Genomic DNA, 25,930 nt, shown 5'->3' with positions numbered 1-25,930 from the left:
CCAGTGTGACCGTAGAGAATAAGGGTGGCGCCAGTCACGTCCTGAGAAAGCGACGAATGTGTCCTTGTGAATCGGTCAAGGTTTTCCCTTGCAGGTGGCCTGACTCAAGGGCTTCGCAGGGACACAGGGACATAAGAAAAAACTTTCAAAAGTTTTACCATCAGGGAAAAAGCACATCAGGACCCGCCGGTCATTGCAGGTCATGCCAGCGGAAGCTTAACCGAGGGAGCAGGGCGCACAGACACAGCTGTGCTCCAAGAGTTTAAAAAGCATTTTGGCAGATGTTCCTTGGTGATCAGTTGGAGTCTTTGGCACGAGGCTGGCATCTGGTGTGTTTCCTGTTCATTACTGATGAAATTGTCTGACGTGTCTGTGTCTCATCCGAATACAACAGAAAAAAATGCCTGGGAATAAACACCCTAATCTAACCCTTGGAGCAATGTGTAGGTACTGTTTATCTTTGAAATAAATATTCAGGTCACATAAACTGCAGTTCAATGTACAAAGCAGAATTTAATATGAGGACATATAAGGTTTAAATATCATTGCATAGTAGTGACTTTTTAGGTAATCACAATTTTATATGCCTGTTACATTTGTGGTAGGAGTTTAGCTAGATTTTGCTGGAAAACTACAGCTTATTTATAAAGTACACACATTATTTTAATCGTACAAAAATGTGTAAAATATCTTACTCACCATGTAACATGGGCACCCCAAAGTACATGAGTTTCTTAAGAAGACATATGAAATCTTCAAGGCTATAAAGAGGACAGGAAATGACTCACTTCCCAATGACTCCAGGTAGATTAAATACGCCCCCCCTTTTTTTTAAGACAGTGTCTCACTCTGTCATCCAGGCTGGAGTGCAGTGGCACGATGTTGGCCCATTGCAACCTCCACCTCCTGGGTTCAACCAATTCTCCTGCCTCAGCCTCCTCAGTAGCTGGGATTCCTGGTGCATGCCACCATGCCTAGCTAATTTTTGTATTTTTAGTAGAGACTGGGTTTCACCATGTTGGCCAGGCTGGTCTCAAACTCCTGACCTCAAGTGATCCACCCGCCTCAGTCTCCCGAAGTGCTGGATTACAGGCGTGAACCACCGTGCCTTGACTAAATACACATTCTTAATTTAGCAACAGGAAACAATAGAGGAAAATAATGACACATACTCACTGAACACACACCAGTTCCAGGCAATGTGCTAAGAGGTTTACGTTAATTAGCTCAGTTGACCCTCTTAGGAGCCCTGTGACATAGGTACTTTATCCCCATTTTATAGATGAGAGACCTGAGGTTTCAGGTTGAAGTTACCTGTCTAAAATCTCCAGAGTGAGAAAGCAGCCATATTCCAGAGAGCCTGCGTTATGCTGACAGAGAAATATGGATACATGAGAAAATTTATGCAGCACCTTAAATATGTGCCTTTCTAATTGGAAATTCTGAGTGTTTCACAAGTACAAGTACTTTCCTACTTCTTCAAAAATATTAATTTTTTTGGAATAATGATAAAAGCTCAAACCTGTTCTGCTGGACAGGAGAAAGGGCAGCCGGGGGGCGCACAGAGGGAAAGCCTCCCTTTCTGTCTGTACTCCCTGTGGTTAAAATGTTACTATTTGGCCACACTGGCCTCCAGACATAACTGTGGCCAGGCACAGAACGGGGTTTCACACTAGGGTAAACCCTCAGATCTTCAAGGTCTATTCCCAGGTCTTTCCAGGCAGGTCTGGGGCTTGGAGTGTGGGAGCTACTGCTCTGTGGGCTGCTGCCTAGACGGCAAGCTCCTGGTTTTTGTTCGTTTGTTTTGTGTTTTTTTGGCGGAATTTTGCTCTGTTGCCCAGGCTGGAGTGTAGTGGCGTGATCTTGGCTCACTGCAACCTCCGCCTCCCGGGTTCAGGCGATTCTCCTGCCTCAGCCTCCCAAGTAGCTGGGATTACAGGCGTCCACCACCATGCCTTGTTAGTTTTTGTATTTTTAGTAGAGATGGGGTTTCGCCATGTTGGCCAGGCTAGTCTCGAACTCCTGGCCTCAAGTGAGGCCAGGCCTCCCAAAGTGCCTGGGATTACAGGCGTGAGCCACCATGCCTGGCCTGAACGTCTTATTATTTAAAAGTGTGTTGGGGTGGTGGTGGGGCCTTATTCCTAATACTTAAAATCATACACTGATGGCCAAAATCACACTACCAAGTATGACTTAGGAATTGAGAACTCAAGAAGATAACTTCAAGTACTTCTCCCCTTCCTAGGTAGAGGAGAAAACCAAACATCATATATAGGGAGATAGGATTCTAAGTCATGGTACAAACCTCCCCAGAGGAATTGTGAGAATCAGCTTTTCTTAAAGATCCTCACTTCCCCGTTTGCTAGTGTTTCTGAGTGATAACCAAGACCATCATTCCCAGGAGAGCACACGCAGTAAAGTCATCGACATCATCATTGCAGTTTCTCACTAGACGCCTTGTGCTGAGTGATGCACATTCAATCTATACTGTGCACCTCTTGATTACTGAAAAGTGGTTAAAGCTAGATTACAATAGTGCCCCCTTATTCACATTTCCCTTTCTGAAGTTTCGGTTACCTAAGGTCAACTATGTTAGAAAAATATTAAATGGACAGTTCCAGAAATAAACCTTTCTTAAGTTTTAAATTTCAAGCTATTCTGAGTAGTGTGATGAAATCTTGTGCCTTTCCGCCTGGGACATGAGTCATCCCTCTGTCCAGCATATCCTTGCTGTAGACACCTCCCCGGCCCCCAGCAGTCACTTGGCAGCCGTCTTAGTTATCAGATTAACTTCCTGTGTTCAAGTCATCCTTATTTTACTTATAATGGACCCAAAGCGCAAGAGCAGTGATGCTTGCAATTCAGACGGGACAAAGAGAATTGTAAGTGCTGCCTTTAAGTGAAAAAGTGAAAGCTTATCATAGGTACAAATATATAAGAAAAAACATTGCCGGGGTGTGGTGGCTCATGCTTGTAATTCCAGCACTTTGGGAGGCCGAGGCGGGTGGATCACTTGAGGACAGGAGTTCGAGACCAGCCTGGCCAACATGGTGAAACCCTGTCTCTACTAAAAATACAAAAAATTAGCTGGGCGTGGTGGCACATGCCTGTAATCCCAGCTATTTGGGGGTCTGAGGCAGGAGAATTGCTTGAATTCGGGAGGTGGAGGTTGCAGTGAGCCGAGATTGCACCAGCAGTGAGACTCTGTCTCAAAATAGAAAAAAGAAAAAACATAACGTAATCAGGTTCTGTGCTATCTATGGTTTCAGTCATCCACTGGGAGTCTGAAAATGTATCCCCTATATATAAGAAGGGGCCACTGTATTTCAATTCTCTCAGTCCTAATCTAAGTCTATACTTTTCAAAGATTTATCAATGAAAGCAAGTCAAGATCAATTGATTTTTGTTGTTGTTAAAACAACTGTAGGACTCCCACTAGAAGCCCGAAAACTTTTTAAGGCAAAAATTGTGAGACACGTATTTGGTAGTGTGCTTTTTTAGTATTCTGTAAGTAATTTCAAATATTAGCAGTAAGATGGTTTTTAAATTTTGTTTTAGAGAACAGGCATTTGTATTCCCTAGTAATTATTGTTATGAATGATTTTTGGGTTAAATAAACAAAAGTTTGTGGTCTAAGCCTCAATTTAGATGTGATATAGTGTTCTAATAGTAGAAATTTCAGTTATGTTTAGATAGCCGCTACACCATTTGGAGAAACCCACGTTGGATGTAAGTTGGATTTTAAAGTGCACAGGCCCAGCAGAGTCACAGTTGTGTGATGAAAGCATTAGTATGAATGCCTCCACTAGGACTAAATAAATTGTCAGTCGACAGAACATTGAATAGAGTGAAATAAGAACCCCCCTGATTACTATGCCAGGTCATATAATCCATAGGGAACTAAGTTCTGCGGGAAGAGAATCAGATAATGCTAGCTTCAAATAAACTGAAATCCCACAAAATTCAATGGTAAATGAAGTTACTAGGGAAAAAAGAAAAAAAAAACCCTAGTTATTTCAGCATCATTGATACCAAGTGGAAATCTCCAATCCATAATCCATATCCCTTGAAAAGGAGATTTGTAGTAGGTAGGGATCAAATAATTAGTTGACCCAAATAGTCCTTCAAATACCTGATAACGTGAACATTATCACTGCCAGTCAAAGGGAGAAAAAACACTCGTCTTACTACACTCAGAATGTTCTAAATCTTCAGTACGCTATAGCTTTCTCATCAATGTGTACAGTGGTGTAAAATGATTTTCCAGAGGTCAACTCTTGATAAAATGTTCTACTGCTATGAGTCATTAAGTAGGTGAATGATGATTTATGAATGGAACTTACACGTTGGATACCAAGAAGACTAAAACTCACATCTCGTAGATAGTACCTTATGTCTTGATAGAAAAAAGATATAGATTAGCATCACTTCCTAGTCACTAAAATAGTTTGTAATCTTAAGTAATGAAATACGTGACATTTGTCATATTGTTCTATACAGTAATAGGGAACAATCCCAGCTTTACAACTATATTCAACTTTGGTGCAGTCACCTCTGATGCTACCTTTCCACAGAGTGGCGGGGGTCCTGCTGTCCCATTCCCCAGCTCTGGCACGAAGGGAATGGATTCCAAATGCATCTGAAATGTTCAGTCTGCTGCTAAGCCCTGAGCGGCTGCCTCCAGCTATGAGCAGCCTCATCAGTTGACCCCAGTCACCCATTCAAATATGATTCTGCAAGTGTACCATGATTGGAAAACCTCTGGGAAGCCCTCTTGTGGGGAGCCCACCTGACCCCGAGTTTTGGCAGGAGCCAGGCCTCTCAATGTACCCCTTTCTTCTCCTTACCTTTCTCCTTTGTGGAGAAAAAAGAATGGATATGGCATTTGGCAGGGTCATACAATGATGGAGGGAATTTTGTCAGTTGTGCAAGAGTTTGCGGAAAGCATGAAGATGAATGGACTTGGGACCAGAGGTGGGAATGTGGGTGTGGCCATCGCAGTAATTGACAGGAAGTGACGGAAGTTCAGGCAGGCCCATCACTCACTCAGATGCTATTTATCAGGCACCTCTCCCAGGCCAAGCACATTTGAGAAACGGGAAGAGCGAGCTCCCACTTCACCCTTCTGAGGCCGGACACTTTCTGTGTGACCTCCAAAATAGTGGAATTCCAAAAGACACATTTTTGGAAAGGTGCCTTTTTTTTTGAGACGGAGTCTCGCTCTGTCTCCCAGGCTGGAGTGCAGTGGCACGATCTCGACTCACTGCAACCTCTGCCTCCCAGGTTCAAGCGATTCACCTGCCTCAGCCTCCCGAGTAGCTGGGATTACAGGTGCCCACCACTACGCTCAGCTAATTTTTGTATTTTTAGTAGAGACGGGGTTTCACCATCTTGGCCAGGCTGATGTTGAATTCCTGACCTCGTGATCCACCCACCTCGGCCTCCCAAAGTGCTGGGATTACAGGCATGAGCCACCGCGCCTGGCCTGGAAAGGTGCCTTTTTGTTTGCAGTGTTTTTTCTTTCTTTTAGCAAATACCGCCTGAAACAGTTATAAAGTGCGGAGGTGTTAGTACAGTAGAGAGCCACAAGTTAATGAATCCAGAGCCCAGGAAGAAAACCATGCCTTTCCGTGTAGAAGGTTCTGCTGAGAGGATGCCAACTCTCAGCATGTGGCAAGGGTTTGACACAGGAGATTCTATTCCCAATCTGTCAACCACGTATACGAACTTATGGATATCATTTCCCGATATATCTCTCTGGGCATCTGATTTCTCATCTGTAATCAACAGAGTGTTAGTTCTTATGATCAACAAAACTGCTTTCACTTCTAAGGGCTTTTGATCAATTTTTAATATTCTACATCGTTTAATTTTTGATGCTTACAAAAAGATCCTGGGTTATCTCTCAGATATGGAAACTGGACTAAACCATTTTCTATACCCTGCCTCTCCCACAATAACTTAATATAGATATATGCTTAAAGTGAATATCAATTAATCTTCCGTCTTGAAGATTAAAATATGAGTAAGGAGTACAGTTTCACTTTTGCAGATGGAAGAGCTGACGATGGGACAGCCAGCGCTGGCACGGCCTTGATAACATGCACGAACCAGGCTCTGGTGCACTTTAGAACCTGTGAGCGACTTGCTGCCTTCACCGGCCTTCCAGCCAGCCAACTGGCTTCGACACCAATATCAGGGCTAAGTCTATCAGTTGACTTGACAATTCTCTAGGGACAGGTAGGAAACAGGATATAGTGGCATTTATTCACTCAACAAATATTTATTGAGCACTTCCATTCCAATTGCAATTAAACATTAGCGATAGGAAACTCAAGGAAAAACACCATGGCGCTCCCACCTTCAAGGGTACTCTGTATACTTTCACACCAACGAAAGGACAAACAGTCTGAAGGAAGAGGAATGTTATCCTAAATTTATATAGACTGCAGAGATTAAGTGCAAAGCTACTATTTTTAGATAAAATCCTTCTCAGACAAGACCATAGTAAAAGGATTAAAGGACAGTGGTTGAATTTCAATGTTAAATGGTATCTCATGGGAATATGAAAGACTTTGAGACTGGCAATGGCTTTAGTACTAGGACTATGAGGATTGTACCCTTAGGGATACATCACACTAGGACTTGGCTTTGGATCCAAAGAAAGCGCCCAGGAAAGCCTAAAGGGAGAGGTACCAGGGCTGGAGAAAAGTCTTTCTCAGCAGCAGCCAAAGATGGGTGAAAATAAATGGTAATTCCTCCTGGGAACCCAACAGCCAAAACATAGTGGCTTTCAAAAAATATTTTTGGGAAGTCATAAATCAATATGATATCAAGGAATAAGATTACTTCAAATATGACTATACCAAGAAGCAAGACTTTCTACTAAAGTTTAGCCATCATTCTGAAATGAACATACTGTGAAACATTTAGCTCCTGTCTTCACAGAAAAGAATCATTTACTCGATGTTCTGCATAAAACTGGGGCTTGGAATTCTGCTGTATAATCCTCATACTACTTTTATATTCCATTTCTCTCTCTAACCTGGGACTGTGAGCTGTTTGAAGCAGGAATGGTATCTTCACTCTTGTCTACCCAGAGGCCAGGCATGGTATTCAGCCCAATCACTTTAGCACATAAATACTGCTTGAATGAATAAAATCACTTCGTTATTTTGAAAGTTCTTTGACTCGTATTTGGAATTTTAAAAAATCAGCATGAGTTCTAAATTGGATTTGTCTATTGAAACAATTGACAGTTCAGTCTCAAAATTCCTATATATTTTAAATCTACTTCCTTAATCATCAACCCCTATTAAATTTTCTGTGATATGAAATAACTTAGGTGAAATTTACTGTGTCCACAAAGTGGAAGCACATATACAATGGAAAAAAAATTAGCTTAACAACAACAAAAAACTTCACCAGAATGACCAGTGTTTAAAAAACAAAACAAAAAATAATCTGTAGTAGTTTGGGATGTTTCCTATGATGAAAGAAAACAGACAAAAAACTGACATGGCCAGCAGCCTTGCTAAAGATAACTTGTCTCCATAAGTACACATATGCCAATTCAACCTGGCATAATACACATGCAGAACTGAAATCTTCATTTGGTTAATGACCATAGAGTTTATAGCCCTACTGAAAAACACATACACTCCTCAGGAGCAGGTTCTGTTTTCCAGTGTGCTTTGCAATACACCAACCATTTAGATACTTGGATGCTTTTGACAGTCAGTCCCTAGTGCAACTGTGGAAAGCAAGCCTATATTGCTCTGAGAGAAAAAGAAAACAAAGAACAAAACAAAACAAAAATAGCACACTCATGTATACTTATCAAGTTATAGTTCTTGACTCGTGGCTTCTCACAAATATTTTACTTTTAAATTCCTTAGAGATGTTGAAGAGCGTAACTTAAAGAGAGGTGGGAGTAAAACACTTGGACATTTTGTCTAAGAGGCTAAAATTGTAGAATAAAAGATGTCTTCCGTTAAAATATCCTGGCTTTACTGTCTACCCAGACCACGTATTTGAAGCTTGCCGGTTACAATAGCAATTTCTGCCCAGCAGGTCACTAAGGGAGTATTTTTGAGAACATGTACTCAAGGTATGCTGATCCCCCTTGATTTCTCATTGTAAGAGATTCATCTATTCTATTACACCACTTTACCATATCTGACTAACATAAATTTGAGGCACAAGTTTGGTTTTCGTACATTTTGATATACACAGAAATACTGATTGCATCATTTAATTAACACCAATTAAGCACTCAGAAATTTGACGGTGGTGCTAATTCATCAATATGAGTAACCTGCAAGTGCAAAGCATGCGTGATGTCTGTTGGGGTGCTTTCTAGTGCTTTTTATCCCCCTAATATTTGATTTTTATAGCCATTGATATACAATAGGGTAACACAACAACCCTTTTCTATATGTGGCCTACAATTTTTTCCTCTGGTATTTCTGTATTTTAATTCCATTACAGAATTCTACAGTTTCTACTTTTAAGAAATATTCATGAGAAACAGGTAGTAATTCAAACTGAAAAGGAGTGGCACGAGAGCCTCCTGTGCATAAAACTCTTCAGGCATTCCTCACAGCCTGCTGAGGGCGCTCAGCAAGAAGGCTCATGTTGACACTATTACCAAATTCTTGGCAATCAACCTGCTGGAATAGATACAGATCTCACAGCAGGCATGACTTTTATCACCTTTGGCTTTAGAAGAATGACAAATGAAAAAATACTTAAGAAATGGGAGGGGGTGTGGTATCCAACTTCATTTTTCAAGTTCGTATTTAGACTAAATTTACATCTGTCTCTATTTTTCTTTTCCATTAGCTCTGTTCAATGCCGTTTTGAAGGCAGCAGTACTCCTCTTTGAACTGAGGGGAGAAAGTGGTAAGGAAAGCAGGAGCGTCCCAATATTTCCCTTAATAACATGAACTATTCCCAGTTCACTGCGTATGTACTTAAATGTGGGGTTCCATAGATAAAACTAAGGTGATCCACCCGCCTTGGCCGAGCCCTTGCACCTGGCTTACTTCTTTTAGATCGGGCTGGACACTCAGCTTTCTGGTTCAATAACTTTTCTTTGTTACATCCTCTCTAGGATGGAGCTAAGGATGGTGGTGGTGATTCTTTAGCAAATTGTAACAAGCATTTTAGAAAAACTGGGTCACACATTTTGCTGTGGTTTGGGTGGAGTCTGTCCCCAGGAAAACTCCTGTTGAAATTTGATCCCCAGTGTGGAAGTGTTGGGAGGTGGGGGCTGATAGAAAGTGCGTGGGTTACTGAGGCGGATCCCTCATGAATAGGTTAACGGCCGCCCTCGGGATGGGGCGTTTTCCCTCTTGCAGGGATGCATGAGTTCCTAGGAGACTGGGTTGAGTCTGGCCTCCTCTTGCTTTCTCTTGCCTTGTGATCTCTGTGCACCTGGTCCACACTCCCCTTTGGCTTTACACCATGAGTTAAAGCAGCATGAGGCTGTCACCAGATGCAGCTGCCCAATCTTGAACTTTCCAGCCACCAGAAATGTGGGCCAAATAAACCTTTTTTCATCATTACCCAGCCTCAGGCGTTCTGCTATAGCAACACTAAACGCACTAACACACTTCTCTGAAGAATTCAAGGTATTCACACGGCCGTCTGGGTATTTATTAGCTTAATGGGACGTACATTATTGGTGCTGTCCACATCAGTGATGTTTTCCTTGTAGAGTACAAAATTTCTCTGCCAAATAGGCTCATATGGAATTCAGTGAAAGGGACATAAAGTCAAGCTAACACTACATTTTTTCTTTCATTTCTCTCCATACCGGGTTGCTTTAATCCTAAGAGTAACGGGAGGTTTCTAATTCATTTTAGACTCAACACCAATACTTACTGATGACAGACCACTTCTGGAAGTGATATCAAACTTTTCCACTTTATTTCATTTAAAACCAACTTTACTGCTAGTAGCCCCCGAACTGATGCCTGAATGATGTTCTGGATGAGGCATATGTATGTTTGATTTGCTAATCTAGCTTTTTTCCCTGAGACTCACATTTAACTCTTAGTTTCAGGACTTGCATTGCGTTCCGCTCATGAGCTTTAAAGTTTTACATTTTCCCGCCACCTAGGAATCTAGAAATCTAGAGTCAGTTTAAATTCTGGACAACTTTTTAATGCTGTTTTACCTCAGTGAGAAAGCAATGAACAAAAGCATATTAACATATTATCATTTAATTAAAATGTATTCAAACCAACTTTCAACTTGTACTACCAGTATGTCTTAATTTTATAAATCAATCATTGAAAACAATGAATGTAATAAGGGAAGCACTAAAATTCAGGTTTCAAGCACAGCCAAGGCACTTTCCTCATTCCCAAGCTTGACAGTTCTAAGGTAAAGGAGTGAACATAAAATCTTTAGTATCAACTCAAATAGTTCTGCAAGAATTGTGGATTCACTTGCAAATATTTTCTTCTCCTTTTGCTCTTCATCATTTTTCTTGTAATAACCTTTATATTAATATCCAGTTAAGTAACCAATGAACATAGTATAGCATACTTTAAAACAGACTACAGTAGATTTTCATCCCAATTTTAGGAGACACTCCTTAAAATTGGAACTGTTGTGTAGCATGTAAAAATAAGCGCTTTCAGAGGGTATACAGTTCACAAAATAGCATTAAACTGGAATAATCTAATTTTAATAAACATTTTTTGGGGAAGATATGATGCCAAACTTACCATGACTATTATTTTAGACATATGTATAGTACAACTATTAGATGGTCAATTAGTTTAACTGCTTTCTAAAGACCACAAATTACTGTATAAAAGGGGTAATCATTAAAAATTACGTTAGGAAGGAAATCCAAATGTCTAGTGCTTCCATTCACTTAAGCACTTCTGTAAACATAAGAACACAATGTGCATGAGTAACAGTGACTAAAATATTCATCTGATTTTTCAGGAGGAAAAACATCAAAACTGATTTTATGTCACCCCTTTTGAGAAGCTGGTTTGAAAGTCAGATCACCATCCTGGACCAGGAAACAAGCACAGATATCCACAGGAGCCAGAGAGCCGGGGGGAAGGATTAAAGCAAGAGAAGAGTAAGAAAATCAACAGCCCAAGTGTGACACTAGAGACAGGAAGGAGTGGTGGGGTGGCGACTAACCAGGGAATACTTGGCTTCAGGGGACCGTTTAATTACTCAGTTTCAGCTGGTGCCTACTATGTTAAGAATACATGTTTGGGCTTTCTAGACACTTTGATCTTTCAGGAAGAGCAGATTTTGTGAAGAATTAAAAAAAAAATCTAATATGGGCAATCAGACTTTTTTTTTTTTAAGTCTAGTGTTGCCACTTTTAAATTATGGCAAGTAGTTTAAAAAGCAAAACACCGTATAAGCCAAACCAAACACACCTTTGGGCTGCTAGTCTGCACGACGGTGCTATGGATCCTGCAACTGTGGGCTACTTTAACAAAGCATTCTGTTGAGGAAAACTAAGGTTCCGGTGAGCAAGAGGAAAGGAGCCAGAGGTACTTGGAGATGATATAAATAAGAAAGACTGGAAAACTTAAGGTACAAGGAGTCATAACATTTAGATGTTAAAGACTCGTAAAGGTTTCACACTACTGGAAATGATTTTTTTAATAAACCAATTCTGTTCAACAGGTTAATGACACTAGTCCTTTTCATGAAGCTGATGAAATCAAGTTTTGGTCAGCATTCCTTTCTTCTTACATTCGAAAACTACATAAAAACTGTACCATTTATTAAAGATAAAAAAATGTTTTGGATGCACAGTCCAACTATGGAACACTGTAGCAGTCTGTTTACTAATCTCCCTTAATGGCTAAAATCAGAGTGAATGTTATGCTCATTTTCTAATGTTATAATAACTCCAGAATGTCAAATTCTTACATTTTCTTTTAAATAGTGTTGAAAGCCTCAATAAAATTGAAAGTGTGCGTTCTTTATTCTCATATTGATACATGCATTTTCTGGGGGTGGAGGATAAGCAGCACTTTCCAGCTGCAGTTGGCTTGAGAGGATGAAGCACATGCACTTTTTCCAGTTGGTTTATTGCATTTCATGTACGGTCATGCAGTTCTCCGTTCACATGTGACCTGTGAACACCTATTTCGACTATATATATATATATACACAATTTCCACAGTAAAATTTTAAATGTTTCATACATACCACTACAATATAAACCATAAAAGATATATTTGGTAATAAAAACTTAATAGCACTTTTAAGTTATAAATTAACTTTTACCCTGGAAGCTGAGATCTTCCCACAATGTGGTGTCTTTTGCCAAGAAGAGGCAACAACATTATAATGTGGAATCAACACTGTGGCTGCCCTTTGCTGCACCTATCGCCTCCTTCTACTATGAATTAATTCATTCGCCTTCTCCCCCACCCCCTGGCAATTAGTGCAGCAGAAACACAGAAACGAGAGGACTGTGCTGAGGTTAACCAGTTTGATTCCACATTGAAGGCACGAGTGCATATAATGTTGGTAAATCTCTTCATATCAAAGGCATCTCAATTTAGATCACTTAAACTACAGATAAAATTAGATGTGTAGCACATATTTCTAAAATATTGTCCATATTTTTTCCATTTTAAATAAAGGTATTAAGGAATTCGTGACAATGTAAAAAACTACTCTATGCACTTAGAAAAATTGTGAATTCGAAAAGTTGGAGAATAATTTTTGCTAAATAAATAATCATTTGGCAGTAAGTTCTATTCTACCTAAAATAATTTGCTTGAAATGCTGTAACAGCTACTTCTTATCAAGGAATAAAGACAGGCATCACATCCTGGTCAAACATGCAAAACCACTCCCACCCCACCCCATCCTAAAACTAAAGAAACCTTAGGCTGTCACACGTGAAAGTGTTATGACATATATATATACACACACGTATATATATGAAGAGTCTTGATTTGGTAGTGAGCAATTTCATTTAAACCTATCGTTTGCTTTTGGCACACTAAAAAATTCAGATCCTTATGTAGTGTTTAGAAAACCATAACCAGACACCGATTGTGTGTACGTATGCACATCCTGGTTTTATGGGCAGGGTGCCTTCGTGACCTCTTACACCTGGAGCTACTGCACTGGTGCGTATGGGAGTAACTACTTTCATGTTAAGTTTTCCCTGACATTTTGCCTAAAGGAAAAGTTTAAGGACATTAATTTCACCAACTTCTTGACTGAAAGCTCAGCTTTCAACTGTTTTGTCAAATAGTTTCAATCAATCAACTGACTCTAGAATTTTACTATTCTTGGAATTTGGTAGTTTCATGTTTAATATTGTAACCTGTATAAAAATGAAATCTGTAATGTTATTTTCGCCTTTTAAAACTTTTTTACATTTCCTACATAAAAGGCAGCAATGACATAATTATACATAAAGTACCCTTAACTGAAAATGAGATGAGGCTGCATTCATAGGCTTCAGAGAATAGTAAATTGCATAGAAATTCATCAATTTAAGTTACATGGTACCATGACAACTTGTATATTAGCAGCTTGACAGACAGCTTCGAATTTTCACAGACTACTACATGAACTGTTATGGCAACGGAAACTTTTACAAATAGTAGCATGTTAAAAGACCTGTCCACCTAACAGTACACTACCCACCGCTCCCATCAGAGACATGACACGGTTTGTTTACATGATCCAAATGACCATCTCAATGGTGATTCGCTGTTATCACTCACATCAGCTAACACTACTCTGTGTATTTATATGTGTGTATACATATTTATGAAATGAGAATACCTGGACAGTCTGATTGGTTAACAGCGTATTGGTACAGTTTTGTCTTCTATTACATGTCATTCATTTCAGCCCTCAATTTTAGAACTCTAAATAAATAAAATGTAATTTACAAAGATAAATTGTTATTTACAAATGCAAAAATTCATCCTGAGGATTTTGGTATCTAGGAGAACTGTTTCACAGAAAAAAGCAAGTATCAATCTGTGAAATAAAAATGCACCTTGAGTTAAACTAAATAATTCATAATTACAGGTTAATTTACCCAAGTTCCAGCCAAGAAAAGCATGAAGATATTTAAGAAATCTTAAATTGATTTGCATGCAAGAAATTAATCACATACAACTTTTCAAATCCCAATGTTATTCCCCCTTAAACTTCTTGTTTAATGTTTTAGTCTGACTGTATTTGTAAAGTAGGTGACAGAGAAAAAAATACCTGAGGAAAGCTCAGTAACGTGCTGAGGGTTCTTTTCCTCACTGGAAAGCAGCGGGGCTTCAGGCCACCATGAGAAACAGCCAGTGGGCCTTTGACTTTACCCAAGTTAAGCTCCCCTAATAGGAGTAGTTAGCTAAACAAGTTCAACGCTTTCCAAAGGAAAAAGGTCAAGTTAAAACAAAAATCTAAATAAAGGTAAAATATCAACAGTTTCTCTGCTTTACAATGTGACCATAAAATTACTTATTTACAGAAATTAAAAGAAATGGTTCAACAAAGAATCAAACTGGTTTCTCCAGGTATATACCATGACAATGTATCTTTTTACTCGATGCTGTGAGCAGACAGTGATTATTTTGGAGAAGGAAAAATAAGGTGTGGAATTAGTAATGCAGATGCTGAAAGGCAAGTGGCAAGAGAAGAATGCCTCAAACAAAGGCTACTTTGTTCCCATCTCTACTGCACCTACACCCACACCCGCCCCGGCCCCCAAGCTAAAAGACCAGAATAACCAAAGCCATTTTAACAGTAGTGTGCAAAACTGTCAGCTGACAAACAACATAAAAACAAGTCACACTATGTTATCTGTGGTCACGTTCTTCAGGGTTAGTCCAGTAACTCAAGACTTTACATTCTTTTGTCTTTATTTGTTTATTTTAATTAAACATATAAAGGTTAATAAACAGACAAAGTCCAGAGTTAGTAGGTTGGTATTATAACATTTATTAAAATAATGCTGTGGGTTAATAGAAACAGCAAAGAACCAAAGAATTAAAATGCAAGCTATGTAAAATCCCAACTAAAACCCAAAAGTGTCTAATGTATTCATTCATTAGCTAACTAAAAGCCCAAAAAAGACAAGACACCCAATATAATAAAGTACTGCAAAACAATTGGCAATTTTCAGTTATCAAAATTGTGGATTTTGCATTTTGTATCCTTTTCTCAATCAAGAAAAAAATTCTTTTTGAATGTTATATAACATACATATAAAACAAGATAGAAAAATACATTATAAACTTGTAACAATGGCTGTAAATACATTATCTTACATGTTTCTCATAGGCAATAGGTTGGTTATGGTACATACATAGCATGAAACTAAGATAATAAAGAATAGACAAAAATACATGTCAGCTGTACGATAACATACAAGCGACACTCCCATCTACCCACGCTAAAAAATTACATAATACTGTCAGAAAAAAAGTCTTAAAAACTACATATTTTAATAAGAAATAAATTCAATAAAGAATGATAATACTGAGAACCAAGGCATTCAGAGATTTCAAAAGTCATGCTTTTTTCAGTTGATCCAAAATTTTGTCAACCAAGTTTTCAAAAGTTTGTTCAGAGCCAACATTCCCTATAAATGTCACACATTTATTATTTCATACATTTACTTTCTTCCCCATAAAAGACCTTTGATAAACATCTAAAATGTCCAGGTATAACATAGTTGAGATGAAACTGGATCAAATACTGGTATTGTTTTTAACAACTATCACCTCAAGTGTTTGAGTGTCGCAAATTTATTCAACCAACCAAACAATATAAAAATCAAAATGGCACAGCATATATTGTAAATAAATCAAAACTGTATGTGTAACAGAAAGACAAAGCAGTGGCATATTAAACCAAAGCTAGCTGGATACAAAACAATGAATGTCTATTGCATAGTAAATAAACTGACAACGGTTTCCAAGTGAGACAAGATGGTGGGGGAGGTCACCAAGAAGGTAATGACTCAGCTTCCTGCTGACCTCTGACTGTGATGCTGGGAAGGTGTGGAAGAGGGGACGAGTTGATAAGCTGGGCGGGGGGGGGGGTCCACTGTCACTTGAGATTTGCCACGTCTGGTACTGAGCAGTTAATGATTATTCACTCAAGTGTTTAGATGTAGGCTTTGCACACAAATTGCTTCAACTACATAACTAACTGTTTCAACTTCTTGAGAAATTAGAAGCTTAAGCTGAAATGTGGTTGAGTATTTATATGCACTATGATGCTAGTTTTTCACATTCTTTTAAAGTTAAGGGGTGGGGGAGGCAGAGGTTATTGAAACAGTAAAAGGATACACTACACCAGTTATCTGGTATGATATAAAGACATGTGATTAAATTTGGGTGATTTAAAACATTGTTTTCTAGAATGAAAATCACAAAGATTCACTTTTGTGAAAACATTTGCTAGGTATCCTATTATATTCAATTAATTAAAAACAAAAAACAAAATCAAATGAATGCATCCCCCTTCTCCAAATAAAACAAAGCTCTAATTTTGTCTGTAAACTGAAGTTTAGATGACACATAATTTTTATCTCAGAATCCTTTGGGTTAACATTGAAGATTGGAATAACCAAAAGTATTAAACTATTCTTTTAAAGAATGATGTTTTAAAACTTACTAGTCAGGCATTAGAAAAGTTATCAAATCTTTTCACAGTATCAGATTTGGCAAATTTGCATCAAGGTAACGTGGCAAAAATCCTATAATTCAAACTATCAACTCATTTGTCTCCCTCATATCTTCTTTCACATACTGGGCGACTGAGTAACATGCATTAACTTGTATTCTGAGGGAGGAGCTGATCTTTATGAGACACTTGACTGAATGACCATGAAGGAAAATAAGGCACTTTCTTTTCTTTAGACTTATTCCAATACTTAAAAAATAAAAAAGAAAGACAAAAAGGCTCTTTTGGTCTTTTGTTTCTTGACAACCACCAGAAAAAATCATTTAATGAAATAAAGGGTTTCTTTGTTCTTTTTCTTTTTTTTTATAACACTTGAAAGTATAAAATGCTACATTTCCAAAAATATATATATTTTTTTCTGCACCAGCACCCTTGTATAGTAAAAGTATCTACTTTTTGTTCATTTGTTTCAATGCACTACACTTTATCTACAATTTCATTACATGTATACAGCAAATAGGCAAGCATGGCTTTTACATCCTTAATGATTTTTTTCTATACAGGGAGGTTTAAAAAAAAATACTTGAACAGTTTGCCCAGTAATGTGACACATAATGCATGTACCTTGTTCTCATATTTTTTTAGGTGTAAAATAAAGATTCAGTAATTTTAACTCAGATATTTATCTTTTTAAAAATAGTGTTGCAGTTTTGTTATTTGCATTACTTTTCAAAACTCCTTAAGTTTTTCTCTCATGGCACACTTTCTTCTAATACTTCAAATTTTGGCAGGCAATATAAAAAAGGCTGCAACTTCTGCCCTTTGAGGGCACTGTAGTGACTAAACAGCATATCAAATTTTGAATACTTTTTGAAATCACTTCACCAATGATATCCCTGACCGAAGGTTCATGCATGATGCATCATCACACAGTACATTCAGAGAGAGCTTTGACTTCGCTATGAGAAGAAAAAGATTCCTAGAAGTCTCTCACAGTAACTGCCTCTGTCATTGAGTAGTTAAGGACCATCTGTCTCCCCTTCTTAAGAGAGGCCTTCTTACCGTTCGCTTAGGGTGGGATATTAAAAGATGATCAGTGCTGTGGGATGAATTGGGCCTTATTGCTTTACTACTATTCAGTGCAGTTTCTAGAACCACTTTCACCCAAACAGGAAAAAAAAAAAAAAAAAGCTGAGTTGGAGGACAACAATTTCTTTGTCTTTTGTTTGGTTAGATGGTAAGACGAACGGACAAGTGCCTCAGCTCGCTGCACTGACGACAGGCAAGCAAAGGCGATTACCAGTTAACTGATCAGCAGGCAGGCATGGTCAGGTCATCATTGGGTGAAGAGTTCAGAGGTCAGAAGGTCATAGGTTAGTTGCCGGTGGCGGCTGGGTGGTTAGAAACAAAAAAAAACAAAACAAAAAAAAGAAAAGAAAAGATAGAGAAGAGATTAGTTTCAGCTAGTGACGGCTTAATGACAACATGAAAAACTAATCACAACTAATAAAAAAAAAAGCATGTTTAATTCTGACAAACTGATTGACACCATCTACAGAATACAATTAAAATCATGACAATTTCGTATCATGATTTGAACAAATGAAGAAGAGCCCACTCCCACAAAAAAAAAAAAAAAACTGGTTAACAAGAAAAAATAGAAATAAAATACAACTAACAACTAATAGTTAGTAGCAGTCAATGAAGGAAATTGAAAAACAACAATGAATAGGTTTGGTATACAGAATTTTTAAACAGTCAGTGCAGTTATCAGTATCTGACTGCTATTAAGCATTAGTATTCTCTAAGATGCAAGCATTAAAGCAACTATTAATGATGGATGTGATTATTAATAACTGATGATTAACAGAAATGAATCTAAAGAAATTCAAAATTCTATGAACCATTTGGTTCAACATAAACTCTGGGCCAAACAAGGTTTCTTTTGTTCAATAAATGTTTATTGCTTTTTCAATTATTCTATTTACAAACAACATGGAATTTCTTGGCCTCATGATACAAAGCGATACTAAACTGTAGTCTAGCAGTGTAGGCAACATCATGGGAACCAGAAAATGGCCAGGCCTTTTGCACTAGCCAACACTTTCCAGTTGAAAATACTATTTTACACATATAGAACACTTATAAAATGCACTTGCATGTAAACACTGTAAAATCCTGCCATTTAAAATTCTACACTCAAAAAGCTCTAAGTACATCAAAAAATAGAAGAAATTTCTAATTGATACCAATAAGGCATTTTAAAACTACAAACAGCTTTCTTTATTCAATTTCAAAGCTAATACTCTGCAAATACAATAAAATCTGACATTTCATATACATTCCTGCTTTATATTTTTATATTTTAAAAGAAGCCACCTGTAAATACTATTTTCTTTTGCAAAATAACAAAAAGGACAAAAAAACTTTAAAAATTACAGTAAAACATAAAGTAGTTCTCAAGTGGAAAAGTTATCATTCCCAATGTCCTTGAGTTGTTCCTTCCTTAATCAACCTTTGTCACATTCTGCTTCACCAAACTTGGTCCACTTAACAGTAGTATAATTTTTAAGACTCATTCAACAGCTTAATTATTTCTACTATATTCTGAGGTTTGATAGAATTTTCTGTACTGTTGCCATTGTGACTAAGGCAGAGGAGATGTGAATGAAAAGATATTCAGTGCAAAGTTAGATTCTGTGCCACTTCATAAATCAAAGCCCAGAAGGTGTAATGTTCAGTTTAAATGATCCAAAATAATGGACTGATTTACCTTCATATGACAAAAATGTTTTCTATAGTCTATCATTTAGAACAGTTTATAAATACTACAAAAATACTGTATCTTCAATGTGACCAAATCTTCCCTGAATTTCTTAAAAGTGGAATTTTATTTAAAATAAAAATTGCTGCTCCAAAATCATAGAAGAAAATAAATATTTAACATGATGTAGTCATACTACTTCACAGGTATTCCAAAATATAGAATCTTAAAGCATTTTTGATGTTACTCATAGTTTTGATTAAAACTGTTTAAAGTTTCTTATACAAATTATGTAAGTGATGGTTTTTGTATTACTCAGAAAAAACTCTGACTTCTTTTCTGAGTGTGGAATATATAAACGAAGTGAGTGACCATTTATATATACCAGGACACCTAGACTACATCCTCTGCCAAGTCTTGGCCTCCTACACAGGTGTGTCACCATGCAAGACCATACAGTTCATTACAACTAAAAGGTCAGTTGGTCTCTAATAGGCTTCAAATTCAGTTTTGAAATATATATAAAGAGGTGAGTTTACTTTTAGTAAAGAACTAGATATTGGTCAACCATGTAGTACTCTAAACGTTCATATAGAATTACATGGTTATATGTCCAAGGGCTGAGTTTTTTTGCATTAAATGAATGCTTATACTAATAAACTTCTCTTCAAAATATTTTTTTAAAATAATTTTAACCTCAAAAATAGAGAAAACAGTAGTATCATAAAATAATTTAAGTGAAGGACTTCAGACATCTCCCTTAGACCCAATGAGTGCATACAGTGATAAGTATACGAGTACTCTGTTACTAAAAAAGAAATGAGCATTTCGGTTTGCTGACACTGCATTTTAAATAAAAACAGTGACAGGACTAATCAAAACACGTAACTACAAAAGATCCATGCATGGAATGTGTCGTAATTTTCCAAATACAATAAAATCTTCCTAAAATATGTCCAACTATCTCAAGGCACTGGAGTATTAAGTAGGCCAATAATTATTGTGTTAAAGCAAAATGGTGAGAAATCTCCTAAAAGGGGGCATACATAGGGAAAGATTAGCTGGGGGAAAAAAACTACTTTAAAATACTCTTTAGAACAATTGTAGACATTAGCAATATGAATAAAACCTCAAATTATTCATGGAATTGTCCAGTTTCTTTAAAACTCAAGTGACTTTCCAAAAAACTTCCCCATCCCTATGAGACGTGCTCATACAGAACACTTACAAGGAATACCATCCTCATAGACGACCACGGAGCTGGGGTCTATTTTGTTCACTGAACAATCACTGTTAGTGATGAATACATTAGTTTAAAAGTCTTCAACGTTCTTTATGGATTATGCTAAACAAATATTAACAATGTCTTTGGGAAAGGCATGTTATTTCTGATGTGGACAACAGCTGTGTCTAGTATTTATCATCAGTACTCAAGGTAATCACATAAAGCAGGTAGGTCCTTCATAAATTCATAGAAGATGTACAATTGAAGTACAAATCCAGCACTTTTTCCTCCACTAATATTTGAGACTTTGATCAATTTAATTTGTAGGAAACAAATGTGCCATAATAGAAACTTGTAAAAAATCCTTTTTTACTACCATGCTTGATATTCCTATCTTGTGATGGAAAAACTTAGAAAACAATTCAATGTCAATAAACCGAAAATACCATTCCTCAATAAGCAAAAATAATTTATAAAAGGGTCCAAGGGCATATACAGGACACAAATTATAAAAGTTGTAAAGGAGAAAAATGAAGACTTATTTTCCAGTCACAGGTTAGTCAAAAATTATATTCACACAGCTGGATCTCATACCACCACAGAACTTCAAGAGACAGTTTACCTTCAGATAATATATTTTAGCAGCAAATGACAAAAATCAAAGGATCCATTTTGGCAAGAGAATGTAAGAATAAAAGGGAATTGACGCTCTAATTTATATAAAAAAATCCAACTACATGAAAGTTATCTTCACAGTCCTCACTTTGTTGATTTTAGCTAAGTACTTGACATGTGCACCCTCATGTTTATACAGTGGCTCAAATATTTTATTATAAAGAAAAATGGAAACTAAATCTTCAGTTTTCTCCAAAAGTACACAGGAGGCATATATTCCTTTACTTCTCTCATTAAAGCACCATCCGTTCAATTCATTTTGCAATACCAACCCCAAATTTCAGAACTTTTAAAAGGTAAATTTTAGCAAAAGTTATTAATGAAAATAACTGAGGCAACATCAAAATTTAATAGCTCCCCAAATTGACTAATTTATGTTTTAGTAGGAATAAATCATAGTACATAATAATAGAAGATTTAATAAGTTAAAATATGAAGGGAGAAAAAACCAAACCAAAACAAAAAACCCAACCCTTAAATCTGTCAATGATCACAAACAAATTTAGAAAAGGAAAAAAAACTGTGTGCAGGTAAGCAATTACATTTTTCCATCAGGTGTGGTGTTGCAAATTTTATGGACACCCAACGCATTTCTTATAGACAAGAACTGCAGAACTAAACTAACCTCGGTCTGCGGTCACAATCCTTTGGTAAGGATGGACACGCATATCGTGCCTTCGAACTTTAGTAGCCACCGCACCTAGTTAAATTGCAATTACCAAGACAAAGTTAGAAAACATTCACAAGGGGGGAAAAAACATTAACAGCAGGTTTATCAAAATGGATTTCAAATGTTCATTTACTACAAAAGTTTAAGAAACACGTTAAGGCACAGTAGTTTTAAAATTAACCACAATATGTCATGTATATATGCATCTATTAATATTGCATTCATTTCAAACATCTTGGGCCTTAACCTATTGTATCCATTCATTTACAATCCCCAAGTTACAGTATTTCATGAGCTCTATTAGATCCAAACATATTTAAGCTTTACTAGTCACATATTCACTGAAGTGCCTTTCTTGCAGCAGGACTACTTAAATAACGCCATGTTTAATACAGACAATTATTTGCTAACCTTAAGACCACTTCAAGAGTTTATCACTTAAAAAGGTTTAAAAGCAATTCTTAAAGCCTACAGATTGTGGTTTTAAACTCTGAGTCAATAAGTATGAACTGCAATGAATTAGGTGATTAGTAAAGCAAACAGTATAGTACACTTAGCAGTCAGTATACTACTATACACTCCTTTATAAATTACCATTACTGTGTAATATTACAGACTAAACCAAATTAATAACATAATTTTACTTTATATCTATGTGCAAAAAGTGCAAGTAAGTCACTGACTGCTAGGCTAAGCTTTTTTCCCCCGGAGGCTGCTGAGACTAAGCATTTGTTAAATTCAGATCTGATGAGGGTTCAGTTAAGACCGTTCTTGAATTCTTAGCCTTTCGTTGGGAAAGCCATACCTAAAGATAAAAGGAAGGGAATTAAAAATTAGTCATCAATGAAGACTTGATGCTAATACCAATCTCCTCACTACTACCAACACACATGTCTGCATCTGTTTTGAAGGGCACTGCTTATTTTAAAATAATTTAATGTGAGATGTGACATAAATAGCATGCATGTTATCTGTGTGCAAATTTATTATAACTTAGAAATTTAAAATAATTTTCTGAGTTCTCCAAGTGGTCAATATCATGTTTTACTGCTTAGGTGGCAAAGCAAGAAATGAAATTAACCATAATAGATTTTTTCATTGGGCACTTATTATTATTCACCTTATGAATGCCAATTAGAAATCTGCATATTTTGGTCTTTATTTTACCAGTCTAATAATTAAGTTTCTATAAGTAAAAATTTTCCAACAAACAAAAGACATGAAGCTTTACAATGAGAAACAAGTTTTACTGCAGTGCCTCTTGCTATTTCTAAGCAGTAAACTGGTCCATCACCTCTTATTCATTTTAGATAAGGTAATCATATACAAGTACAATTCCACGTGGCAAAATCAGGGAGATCTTGCGCTGAAAGTGCTGGAACAGCAGCTGGTGGCTAAGAGCCCCAGCCCTGCAGGAAGTCAAGAGTCATAACTCCTCGGGAACAGATGCTGTGGGTGCAGCAGAGAGGAGTTCTGGGAAAAGGAGCATGCACGGGACCACAGGACAGAGTATTAATAGAAAAGAAAACTTAAACAACAAGGTTACAGGTTACATGTTATTTTAAAAATGCTTCAAGAAATGTGCAACAGACACAAGCCTCTCATAAACAGTTCTGTGGTATAATTCTGACCTGCAATTACTTTATACAATGATTTAAACAGAAAACATGTACAATGAAATGTATTTGTTCATGAAACAAAGGGCACCTGAGTGCATGCACACACACAGATAACATACAGAGCATCATGGCTTTCTTTACTTGAACAACGAATTTTCGAGTTTAAATCTTAGTGTTCTCCAGTTCATTAAAGATTTTCAAATCTTTATAAATCAATATTAATGCTGGGGAAAAAAAACCTTAAAAGATCAAAGTCCTAAAAGTCAACAGCATGCATGCAGCACCAAGGTCATATACAATTCAGGAAAAAAAGTATTCAAATTTTGTCTGGTAAAACAAAGGGGTTGCACAGAAACAGTTTGTTCCACATTGACTGGTCGTGTTATAACAGCTGCTGTATTCTAGTCCTTCATCCAGCAAGTCAATGGGCTGAAATATCAGGCATGACTGGCATTTCAATCCACTCTATAAAAAAAAGGCATCAGTAATGTCTTTTTCGAGCACACCACTTTTTGTTCATGTAAAACCAAGCGTTTATATTATGATTTTAATTTCTGCCTTAAGTGAGATTCTGAATTCAGTGATTTGCTATTTATTTAACTATTCCATACTGTACTACTGAAATTAAGAGTATCTCTCATGTTTAATATGACTAGGACTCCAAAACACAAGAACTGAAAAATCTTAAGAATACAACTACAGTCATGCCTGCATAACAACATTTTGGTCAACAACGGACCACTTATACTATGTGGTCCCATAAGATTATAATGGCTATACCACACAGCCTAGGTGTGTAGTAAACGATATCATCTATGTCTGTGTAAGTACACTCTATGATGTACACCAAATGATGAAACTGCCAGACAAGGCAATTCTTAGACTGTATCCCCGTTGTTAAGCGATGCATGACTGTATTTATCTGATATTTTAAGTGATCGCAAATATTACAAAACACACACAATAATATGAATTTTATAAAGCGCTCAGACTACTTTCACTTAGAAGTTTAAAAATTTTCCAACAATTACACAAACCTGTGAGATAAAATAAATCTCAAATAAAGTTTGAGAAGTGGAGCTGATGGAGGTGACGGGCCAATGGGGTGGGACCTAAAACTCAGAATGACCTCAGTAATGTCAAATGTAAAAGTATTTGTTGAAATGTACACAACAGATTTACCCAACCAAACTGAACCTCAGTTACCAAAGTGGATCTGAATAAATTTAAGGTGCAATTATTTCAAAGGGGAACCCTTATGAGAGGCTGAAATAAAACAAAATTTAGTTTTCGGTCTTCCCTAATGCAAACTTGTCTTGCCTCTCTAAAACTGATAAAATCATTTCAAAATCTGAGGGAGCAAAAATATTTATAAAGAGAATGTTGTTAACCCCATGGGGAGAAGAACTTACCTAATACACCACTAGGTTCAATAGGATACTCAAGGATTGATGTAGCTGGTGCCAATGTGTAGGGGTACTCATAGGGTGTATAGATTAAACCAGCTTCGGGCCCTGGAGGAACTATTGCAGCAGTTGGGTGAGGAGTTCCGTTTGGCATGACAGCGGTCTGTATTTGTCTGATCAAAGGCATTATGGTAGGGCCAGCTGGCGTAGGAGTACGCAGGGCAGCTGGTGGGAGAACCGGCGCAGGCCCAGTAATGATCCTTGGAGCAGCCTGGGCTGTTGCTGCAAGAGAAAAGGCAAGGGCTGCTACAGTAAGCAAAGAAATTTAGAAAGAAGTATAGAGACAGCAGTATAAAATACGGAAAAATGAGAAGGGAGTAGGAAAAAGAAAGGAAAAGCAGGAAAGAAGAAAAATAAAAGGAAATCATTAGTACATGCGCTGATCACACAAAAATGCAAAAGCACACCAATCAAATGCAAACAGCTTTCCCTTTCCCAATGTGATTAAGAATGTGCAAAAATTAAAAAGCCATTGTAAAAAAATGAATGACACCATTAAATAGGTTATATTTAGTTCATACATTTGATATATCTAAGATTTCATAAGACTAAAGTACATGCAGAAGCACAATGAAACACTTGCATTAACAGATGTTAAAAAATAATTTGTAACCGGAGTCCACAGAAACTCAGTTTTGGTATATTTCTAAAGTACAGCTTTAGTTTCAAAGTAAAGAAAGAATAATTTTTATTGCATTTAGTCAAGTAACCACTAGGTATATATGTACATTTCCTGCATCTTTAGGAACCAACGTCACAGAAAATCTTAAAAAGCCCTACTTCTAAATTCCTATTAATGATATACTCACATTTTCATGAGTAAATTAATGTCAACAATTTGTAAAGTAACTACTT

General features: G+C 37.0%; 1 protein-coding gene across 8 annotated transcripts in view, besides 2 other annotated features; it reads right to left on the bottom strand.

Moving 5' to 3' along the window:
• Positions 110 to 1,309: an enhancer, noted in NCBI's record as "P300/CBP strongly-dependent group 1 enhancer chr6:164008464-164009663 (GRCh37/hg19 assembly coordinates)". NCBI's record gives its function as "activates an origin of replication core promoter dependent on BRD2, BRD4, P300/CBP, MED14 and CDK7 cofactors, with strong dependence on P300/CBP, by STARR-seq in HCT116 cells {active_cell/tissue: HCT116}" and the evidence as "EXISTENCE:reporter gene assay evidence [ECO:0000049][PMID:35650434]".
• Positions 9,230 to 9,524: a silencer, noted in NCBI's record as "tiled region #9625; HepG2 Repressive non-DNase unmatched - State 18:Pol2, and K562 Repressive non-DNase unmatched - State 5:Enh". NCBI's record gives its function as "represses a minimal TATA promoter and a strong SV40 promoter by Sharpr-MPRA in HepG2 and K562 cells {active_cell/tissue: HepG2 | K562}" and the evidence as "EXISTENCE:reporter gene assay evidence [ECO:0000049][PMID:27701403]".
• QKI (QKI, KH domain containing RNA binding) overlaps positions 10,149 to 25,930 on the bottom strand; it is a 163,875-nt gene continuing 148,093 nt past the window's right edge. For 2 of the 8 annotated variants that reach the window (NM_006775.3, XM_011536260.3), the window contains 3 exons: positions 25,022 to 25,321; positions 21,946 to 22,020; positions 10,149 to 18,047 (listed from right to left, as the gene is read on the bottom strand). In NM_006775.3, the coding sequence (NP_006766.1) occupies positions 18,031 to 18,047; positions 21,946 to 22,020; positions 25,022 to 25,321 (392 nt within the window). In that variant the 3' untranslated portion in view covers positions 10,149 to 18,030. Of the gene's footprint in view, positions 25,322 to 25,930 lie in introns of all 8 variants that reach the window. The other 6 variants (NM_206853.3, XM_047419566.1, NM_001301085.2 and 3 more) reach the window with 5 other exon arrangements.

The sequence above is a fragment of the Homo sapiens genome, chromosome 6 (genome assembly GCF_000001405.40).
Source record: "Homo sapiens chromosome 6, GRCh38.p14 Primary Assembly".
Taxonomy (NCBI): domain Eukaryota; kingdom Metazoa; phylum Chordata; class Mammalia; order Primates; family Hominidae; genus Homo; species Homo sapiens.
Note: the sequence above shows the minus strand (reverse complement) of the source record. Positions and strands in the feature narration are given on the sequence as shown.